This window comes from Homo sapiens, chromosome X (assembly GCF_000001405.40).
Source record: "Homo sapiens chromosome X, GRCh38.p14 Primary Assembly".
Taxonomy (NCBI): Eukaryota; Metazoa; Chordata; class Mammalia; order Primates; family Hominidae; genus Homo; species Homo sapiens.
In genome coordinates, this window is record NC_000023.11 from 99,835,206 (window position 1) to 99,845,881 (window position 10,676).

Below are 10,676 nucleotides of genomic sequence, written 5' to 3' on the forward strand. Positions count from 1 at the left end.
TCTGCTGAGAAGTCTGCTGTTAATCTGATAAGTTTTCCTTTATAGGTTACCTGGTGCTTCTGTCTCAAAATGCTTAAGGTTCTTTCCTTTGTCTTAACTTTGTATAGCCTGATGACAATGTGCCTAGGTGAAGATCTTTTTGTGATGAATTTCTCAGGTGTTCTTTATGCTTCTTGTATTTGCATGACTAGATCTCTAGCAAGGCCAAGGAAGTTTTCCTTGATTATTCCAACTATGTTTTCCAAGCTTTTAGAATTGTCTTCTTCCTCAGGTACACCGATTATTCTTAGATTTGGTGGTTTAACATAATCTCTGGCCTCTTGGAGGCTTTGTTCATATTTTCTTATTATTTTTTCTTTGTCTTTGTTGGATTGGGTTAATTCAAAGACCTTGTCTTCGAACTCTGAATTTCTTTCTTCTACTTGTTCAATTCTATTGCTGAGACTTTCCAGAGAATTTCACATTTCTAAAAGTGTGTCCAAAGTTTCCTGAATTTTTTATTGTTTTTTCTTTAAGCTATCTATTTCCTTGCATATTTCTCCCTTCTCTTCTTGTATCATTTTTTGGATTTCCTTGCATTGGGCTTCACTTTTCTCTGGCCCCTCCCTGATTAGCTTAGTAACTAATCTCCTGAATTCTTTTTCAGGTAAATCAGGGATTTCTTCTTGGTTTGGATCCATTGCTAGTGAACTAGTGTGATTTTTGGGGGGTGTTGATGAGCCTTGTTTTGTCATATTACCAGGGTTGGTTTCCTGGTTCCTTCTCATTTGCGTAGGTTCTGTCAGAGCGAAGATTGAGGGCTGAAGCTGTTGTTCTTATTTTTTTGTCCCACAGGGTGTTCCCTTGATGTAGTACTTTCCCCCTTTTCCTGTGGATATGGCTTCCTGTGAGCCAAAGTGCAATGATTGTTGTCTCTCTTCTGGGTCTAACCTCCCAGTGAGTCTACCCGGCTCCAGGCTGGTACTGGGGGTTGTCTGCACAGACTCCTGTGATGTGAATCATCTATGGGTCTCTCAGCCATGGATACCAGTGCCTGTTCTGGTGGAGGTGGTGGAGGGTACAATGGACTCCGTGGGGGTTCTTAGCTTTGGTGATTTAATGCTCTATTTTTGTGCTGGTTGGCCTCCTGCCAGGAGGCGTTGCTTTCCAGAAAGAATCAGCTGTAGTAGTGTGGAGAGGGACTGGTGGTGAGCAGGGCCCTAGAACTCCCAAGACTAGATGCCCTTTGTCTTTCGTTACCAAAGTAGGTAGGGAAGGACAATCAGATGGGGACAGGGCTAGGTGTGTCTGAGCTCAGGCTCTCCTTGGGTGGGTCTTGCTGCGGCAGCTGTGGGGAATGGGGGTGAGATTCCCAGGTCATTGGAGTTGTGTACCTAGGAGGATTATGGCTGCTTCTGCTGAGTCATGTAGGCTGTCAGGGAAGTGGGGGAAAGCCAGTGGTCACAGGCCTCACCCAGCTCCCATACAAACTGAAGGGCTGGTCTCATTCCCACCATGCCCCCCACAACAGCCCTGAGTCTGTTTCTAGGTGGAGGGTGAGTCGGGCTTGAAAACTTGCCGGAGGCTTCCTGCCTCCCAGCTGCAAAAGAAAAGGGCTTTAGTTCTTCCCCGATCTGTGAAGTCTGCAATTCGGAGTCATACCCTCCCCTGAGTTCTGGCCAGGAGGCTTCTCGCCCCATTCAAGTTGTTACAAAGTTCAGCTAGAGAAGTCCTTCTCCCTGTGGAGTTTTACCGCCTGCTCCTCTGGCCACCATCCTGATAGATCTCTGTGATGCCAAGCAATAATAGGCTGCTTGGGGATCCAGCAAGCTCCCAGGGTCCTTCTGCTGCTTCCTCTACCCCTGTATTCACTCTGCTTGGCTGTCTAACTCAACTCAGCTCCAGATAAAGTTGGGAACTTCTCTCACAAACAGACCTTCAGGTTCTCCAGTGGGGGTGTGTGTTCAGGAGAGGGGTTTCTCCCTTTCCCACTTCCAGAGTTGGAGCACTCACAGTATTTGGGGTGTCTCCCGGGTCCTGCAGGAACAGTCCACTTCCTTCAGAGGGTCTGTGGGTCCTCTCAGGATTGCTGACTTGTTCCTGCGGTCAATCTTGAGCTAAAATTCACAATGCAAGCTTCCGCATGATGCTCTGTCTGGAGCTGCAATTCTGTCCTGCCTCCCATCTGCCATGATGCCTGGTCTCCTCTGAATGTCATTTTAATTCTCTTTATATAAAATATCACAAACCAGACCTAAAATTTCTCTCAAGACCTTTTCTCCATTCTAATATTTTCTTTATGGTTGGTGGCACTACAATTATTACAGTTTTATCCGTTTCATAAACTTGCAGTTATTTTGTATTTCTCCCTATTCTTAACTCCTTATATCTCTTTAGTAACAAGTCTTTTATGTTACTAACCTTTAGATTCACTGGAATTTCACATCACTTTTGTTGGTTCTTTTCTTTCCTCTCAGATATTTTCTTTTCACTCAATTTTCTAGACTTGTCTCTTTCTGCCAATCTATGGAATGCAAAGGTAAACAAGACTTTCAAAATGTCCTCAAAAGACTAACAGGAAAAAACATGTGTGTATGAGTAAGTGTATGTGTGTGCCTGGAGATCTACTGAGTTTACTATCCTGCGTTAATTAACTAGAAAATCTGAACAAAAATATATGAACAATTGTCTTTCAACTTGAACAAGAAGCATAGGAGAGTTGACCTCTCAGAGTAGTGAAATCCATGAGGTGAGCCTTATGATTATTTGAAGGCTATTTCCAGGCTGCAGCACACGGACTGTAATATGGTTTGGCTATGTCCCCACCCAAATCTCATTAAATTCCCACATGTTGTGCAAGGAACCCAGTGGGAGGTAACTGAATTATGGAGGCAGATCTTTCCCATGCTGTTCGCATGATAGTGAATAAGTGTCATGAGATCTGATGGTTTTATAAGGGGCAGTTTCCCTGCGCAAGCGTTCTCTTTGCCTGCTGCCATCCATGTAAGACATGACTTGCTCCTCCTTGCCTTCCGCCATAATTGTGAGGCCTCCCCAACCATGTAGAACTGTAAGTCCTTTAAACCTCTTTTTCTTTGTAATTTACCCAATCTCAGGTATGTCTTTATCAGCAGTGTGTAAATGGCCTAATACAGAGTGATAACCTTTACATAGCAAGGCAATCTTACTGGGTTGATTAGAAGGATATTAGAGTTGGGAGAAGTCAAGATAGCTAGAATTTTAGGAATAGAGTACTAGAGAAAAGGAAACTGCAGAGAGAGAGAGAGAGAGAGAGAGCACTTTGAAGACCTCCAGATGGGTCTCTGAAAGTCTGCCTTATTACTGCTTTGTGCATGCATAAGAAAAAAACTACTTCAGGCCAGAGAAAGAATTATTGTAAAGCATTAGACTGAACCATTCTCAGAGCTCACACAGAAGCTGAGGATAATATATGTTTCAAATATTCAGAATTAGAAGACCTTGCAATCATGCAGCATCAAGTAGAGTCCTTGGAAGGGCAAAGTCTTAGTATGGGGGCTAAATGAGCTCTGGAATGAAAGATGGAAATAATCTGCTTTAACAAAGATAAGAAGCACACCTCAAAATGATTCAACTAAACTCAAGGACTTTGCATACCAGAGCAAAGTTCACCATTATTTAAAGAAATATAACAAAATCCAGCACCTAGCAATGTAAAGTTCACAATATCTGTCACCCAATTAAAAGTTAAAAAGCAGGAAAAAAAAAAAACCGAAAAGTCTGACCTATAACAAGGAAAAAATCAATCGATATAAACAAAGAAATTATGGTGATTATAGTACTATTCAGTAAGAATATTAAAACAGCTAATACAAAAATGATCCAAGTATTCAAGAAGACAGAGAAAAATGTGAATATGAGGATAAATATTAAAGTTTTTTAAAGATATGAATTGAATAGATAAATATAATATTTGAAATGAAAAGAACACTGGATAGAATTAAAAGCAGATGAAACACAGTAGAATAAAAATTAAGTGAACTTGAAAACATAGCAATAGAAATGGTCTGAAACAAAGCACAAAGACAAAATGACTGGGAAGAAATGAACAAAGCATTACTGACCTATGGAACAATATCAAGTAGCCTAAAATACATATTAGAGTCCCAAACAGAGGAAAGAGAATGAAGGCCAAAGAAATACTTGAAGAAAAATGGACAGTATTTTCCCAAATTGGATGAAAAATATAAATCTAAAGAGATCAATGGCTCAATTAAACACAAACATAAAAACCATGAATAAAAGCACATCATGACACAGAACTTTCAACCAATAATACTATACACAGCTAGTGGTTCTTCAGAAATGAAGAAGAAATACAGATGTTCACATAAAAACAAAAACCCCTAGAACTGCCTTACAAAAAAATGCTAAAGGGAGTTATTTGAATTGAAATGAAAGGACACTAAGTAAAAACATAAAAACATGAAAGCATAAGACTCACTGATAAAGGTAAATATATAATCAAATTTAGTATATTTCAATATCATAATGGTGATGCAAAATCACTACTACAAAAGCTAAAAAACAAAATTATTAAAAAGTATAGTAAAACAATTTGTGAATGGATACATCCTATGGTTTGAATGATGGTGTCCTTCCCAAAATTTTTGTTGAAACTTTATCCCCAATGCAACAGTATTAAGAGATATGCCCTTTGGTGGGTGCTAGAGTCATGAGGGCTTTTCCCCTCACGAATGGGATTAATATTGTTGTAAAAGGGATCAAGATTGAAAAGAGAGCTCTCTTATTCTTCCACCTTCCTCCATGTGAGGATACCTTGACAATGTGCCATCTTAGAAGCAGAGAGTAGCCCTCACCAGACACCAATACTAGTGCCTTAATCTTGGATTTCCCAGCCTCCAGAACTGTAAGAAATAAATTTCTGTTGTTTATACATTACTCAGTCTGTGCTATTTTGTAACAGCAGCAGAAAAAGACAAAGACAAGGCATAATATGAAAAGATGTAAAGTGTGATATTAATAGTGTACTACGCAGAGAAGAGGGAAAAGTAAAAATGTACAGGATTTAAGTTAAGTTGTTGTCGGCTTAAAATAGAGTGTAACAACTATGAAATGTTGTATGTAAACCTCATGATAACCACAAAGGAAATACCTCTAGTAAATACACAAAAGACAGAGAAAAAAATCAAAGTATACCAATATAAAAATTATCAAACCACAAAGGAAGAAAAAAAACAAGAAAGGAATAAACTACCAAATAGTCAGAAAATAATTAACAAAATGACAACAGTAAGTCCTTACTTATTAATAATTACTTCAAATGTAAGTTGATTTAAAAAACAAGACCCAACAGCATGCTGTCTACAAAAGACTCACTGTAGCTTTAAGAATACACATAGTCTAAGGGATATTAGACCAATATCCCTGATGAACATCGATGCAAAAATCCTCAGTGAAATACTGGCAAACCGAATCCAGCAGCACATCAAAAAGCTTATCCACTACAATCAAGTGGGCTTCATCCCTTGGATGCAAGGCTGGTTCAACATATGCAAATCAATAAATGTAATCCATCATATAAACAGAACCAAAGACAAAAACCACATGATTATCTCAATAGATGCAGAAAAGGCCTTCAACAAAATTCAACAGCCCTTCATGCTAAAAACTCTCAGTAAACTAGGTATTGATGGGATGTTTCTCAAAATAATAAGAGCTATTTATGACAAACCCACAGCCAATATCATACTGAATGGGAAAAAACTGGCAGCATTCCCTTTGAAAACTGCCACAAGACAGGGATGCCCTCTATCACCATTCCTATTCAACATAGTGTTGGAAGTTCTGCCCAGGGCAATCAGGCAAGAAAAAGAAATAAAGGATATTCGATTAGGAAAAGAGGAAGTCAAATTGTCCCTGTTTGCAGATGACATGATTGTATATTCAGAAAACCCCATCCGTCTCAGCCCAAAATCTCCTTAAGCTGAAAAGCAACTTCAGCAAAATCTCAGGATACAAAATCAATGTGCAAAAATCACAAGCATTCCTATATACCAATAACAGACAAACAGAGAGCCAAATCATGAGTGAACTCCCTGCTTCAAAGAGAATAAAATACCTAGGAATCCAACTTACAAGGGATGTGAAGGACCTCTTCAAGAACTACAAACCACTGCTCAATGAAATAAAAGAGGACACTAAAAAATGGAAGAACATTCCATGCTCATGCACAGGAAGAATCAATATTGTGAAAATGGCCATACTGCCCAAGGTAATTTATAGATTCAATGCCATCCCCATCAAGCTACCAATGACTTTCTCCACAGAATTGGAAAAAACTACTTTAAAGTTCATATGGAACCAAAAAAGAGCCGGCATCGCCAAGACAATCCTAAGCCAAAAGAACAAAGCTGGAGGCATCACGCTACCTGATTTCAAACTATACTACAAGGTTACAGTAACCAAAACAGCATGGTACTGGTACCAAAACAGAGATATAGATCAATGGAACGGTACAGAGGTCTCAGAAATAATGCCGCATATCTACAACTATCTGATCTTTGACAAACCCGACAAAAACAAGCAATGGGGAAAGGATTCTCTGTTTAATAAATGGTGCTGGGAAAACTGGCTAGCCATATGTAGAAAGCTGAAACTGGATCCCTTCCTTACAGCTTATACAAAAATTAATTCAAGATGGATTAAAGACTTAAAAGTTAGACCTAAAACCATAAAAATCCTAGAAGAAAAACCTAGGCATTACCATTCAGGACATAGGCATGGGCAAAGACTTCATGACTAAAACACCAAAAGCAATGGCAACAAAAGCCAAAATTGACAAATGGGATCTAATTAAACTAAAGAGCTTCTGCACAGCAAAAGAAACTACCATCAGAGTGTACAGGCAACCTACAGAATGGGAGAAAATTTTTACAATCTACCTATCTGACAAAGGGCTAATATCCAGAATCTACAAAGAAGTTAAACAAATTTACAAGAAAAAATCAAACAACCCCATCAAAAAGTGGGCAAAGGATATGAACAGACACTTCTCAAAAGAAGACATTTATGCAGGCAACAGAAACATGAAAAAATGCTCATCATCACTGGCCATCAGAGAAATGCAAATCAAAACCATAGTGAGATACCATCTCACACCAGTTAGAATGGCGATCATTAAAATGTCAGGAAACAACAGGTGCTGGAGAAGATGTGGAGAAGTAGGAACACTTCTACACTGTTGGTGAGACTGTAAACTAGTTCAACCATTGTGGAAGATGGTGTGGCGATTCCTCAGGTATCTAGAACTAGAAATACCATTTGACCCAGCCATCCCATTACTGGGTATATGCCCAAAGGATTATAAATCATGCTGCTATAAAGATACATGCATATGTATGTTTATTGCGGCACTATTCACAACAGCAAAGACTTGGAACCAACCCACATGTCCATCAATGATAGACTGGATTAAGAAAATGTGGCACATATACACCATGGAATACTATGCAGTCATAAAAAAGGATGAGTTCATGTCCTTTGTAGGGATATGGATAAAGCTGGAAACCATCATTCTGAGCAAACTATCACAAGGACAGAAAACCAAACACTGCATGTTCTCACTCATAGGTAGGAACTGAACACTGAGAATACTTGGACACAGGAAGGGGAACATCACACACCGGGCCTGTCGTGGGGTAGTAGGGGGAGGGATAGCATTAGGAGATATACCTAATGTAAATGACGAGTTAATGGATGCAGCTCACCAACATGGCACATGTATACATATGTAACAAACCCACACGTTGTGCACATGTACCCTTGAACTTAAAGTAAAATTTAAAAAAAGCTAGAAAAAAAAAGAATACACATAGTCTCAAAGTGAAGGGATAAAAAAAGATATTCCATGAAAATGAGACAGAGATAAGAGATGGCTACACTTGTATCTGACAAAACAGACTTTCAGTCAAAATCTATGAAAAAATACCAAAACATCACTATATAATGATAAAGTGGTCAATTCACCAAGAGGATATAACAATTGTAAATATATATCCATTCAACATTGGAGCACCTGAATATGTAAAATGAATATTAAAGGTCACTACAGTACTCCACTTTCAGCAAATGATAGATTATCCACACAGAAAATCAATAAGCAATCAGTGGACATGAATAACACTACAGATGAAATGAACCTAATGAACTTAAAGAACATTCCATCCAACAGGAGCAGAAAACACATTCTTCTCAAGTGCCCATAAAATATTCTGCAGGATCAAATGTTAGGATATAAAAAAGTCTTAACAAATGTAAGAAGATTGAAATTATATCAAGCATCTTTTCTGAATAACAGGAGAAATTTTGAAAAATTCACAAGTATGTGAAACTTATATAACACATCCCCCAAACAACAAATTTTTCAGAGAAGAAATCAGAAAGGGAAATAAAAAATAATCTTGAGACAAATACGAAAATACAATATACTAAACCTTGACAGATGCAGCAAAAGCAGTTCTAAGAGGGACTTTTTAGTGATAAATGCCTACATTAAGAAAAGAATTGTGGTACAACTCTACAACAAAATGCTATTCAGCAGTTAAAAGTGATTTACTACTGACACATGCTACAACATGGATTAACCTCAGTACGACCATGGTGTGCAAAATAAGGCAGACACAAAAGCCTGTATACTGTATAAATTCTCCCAAATCAAATTCTTTAAAAAATACATAGTGACAAAAAGTGGGTCTACAATTTGAAGGCACACAGCTTTGGGGAAGATAGTGACTGCAAAGGAGCACAAGAGAACTTTTGACATGATAGAAATGTGATGTAAAATCATTGTATATGATTGTAAGATTTTATGAAGCTATACACGTACAGTTAATGTTATTGTATGTGGTTGTACATAATACAATAAAGTTGAAATTCTGAAAATTAAAACAAGTCAGGATGGAAAGAATGATACAGTAATATCTAACAGTTTTTTAAATTATCTCATCTATGCTGGATATCATGCCAGGTATTCCAAGTGTATTATTCTATTACATACCCACAATAGCCCTGCAAGAGAGAAGTAATACTATTTTATTTACAGGTAAAAATAAGAATTTATAGAAATTAAATAATTACACTAAGCCATACATTCCATAATCTTTAGACCCAGAATTTGCACCCAGATTTGTTTGCTATCAAAGGTCATGCTATTCATATTTTGCTAGTATATCTCTAAGTATAAATTAAGAATAATAATACAGCATATTGTATTATAAAGTAAAACAAGAAAAGAAAAATATCTAGTCAAACAAAGAAACCAAAAAAAATGTTTAATAAAATGAATGCATAAAATTATCAGAAAGCTCACCTCACATTTAGGCCCTTTTATCTACCACAATTAAGTTCAAAAGCAACTTACTTATTAGCAAGATTTATAAAACAAAATCTACACAAATGCATGAACTTGTCTTTATATGTCTTAGTATTTTGCAAAGTGTAATATAGATTCTTGGTAAACATTGAAGATCAGTAATATTACAATAATAAAAACTAAGGACATATATGAGAAAAAAATTCTGCCAGCAAATGAAGACATTTTCAAGGTAAGTTATGAATAAAACTAGCAAACACTTCAATTTCTTTTTGAATTAAGTACTTAGACAGGAAAACGAATTTTAAATGTAGGTGACTGCGAATAAATGAAATCTCTTACATAAACAACTATTAGCAAAAAGCTAAAGTCCTTGGAATATCTGAACTTGCATAACTGAACTATTCCTGTCTGAATACTCATCGGGTGGTGAGAAAATTGATTAACATAGTTATTCGACCATTTATACTAATTTGATAAGGCTCCAGAAGGGTATAAAATTAAAATGTGGTAGTCTTAAAACAGAATATCACTAAAAATAACGATGGGGGAATTGACAAGTTTCTTTAAGATCCCTCTGCCATTCTAATGTCCTCTCCATTCCAGTTTCATAGATTACGGGAGACAAAAAGAGAATTTGCAGGATCATCAGAAAATACTAACCTTGAATTGGAATAAAGAGAACAACAAAATACAGAAGTAGGGCTGAAAGACCTTAACTGCGGATATCCATAAGAATCCAAGAGACTACTTACAAAGGCATACCACAATGAGGATTTCTCTGGACATGTCCACATATAAAGAGGCACTTCCTCAATATGTGGAATTGAGTCCCAAGAGCAACAAACACCTGATTACTTCTTAAGATTCTTGATTAGCAGATTCCACATTAGCTTCCCATGTGAACTGTATTGGTACAATAACATATGCCAAACCAAGCTCTAATATATTCCCTCTAGGGTCTTTTCAATTTTTTGATTTTTTTTTATTTCTCTCTTTCTCCCTGGGGAAACAAATTAGGTTATGAGTGTGTTTCTGAGCTAGATCTTTACAACAAAGACATGGTTATTAACTTTTAATCAAAACCCCATAATTGCCGGGCGCGGTGGCTCCCAGCACTTTGGGAGGCCGAGGCGGGCGGATCACGAGGTCAGGAGATCGAGACCATCCTGGCTAACACGGTGAAACTCCTACTCTACTAAAAATACAAAAAAAAATTAGCCGGGCGTGGTGGCGGGTGCCTGTAGTCCCAGCTACTCTGGAGGCTGAGGCAGGAGAATGGCGTGAACCCGGGAGGCGGAGCTTGCAGTGAGCTGAGACCGCG

General features: G+C 37.7%; 1 annotated feature.

The window, feature by feature from the left end:
* Positions 606–1,107: an enhancer, noted in NCBI's record as "H3K27ac hESC enhancer chrX:99090809-99091310 (GRCh37/hg19 assembly coordinates)". NCBI's record gives its function as "activates a minimal SCP1, AML or CMV promoter by ChIP-STARR-seq in primed H9 embryonic stem cells {active_cell/tissue: H9 hESC(primed)}" and the evidence as "EXISTENCE:reporter gene assay evidence [ECO:0000049][PMID:30033119]".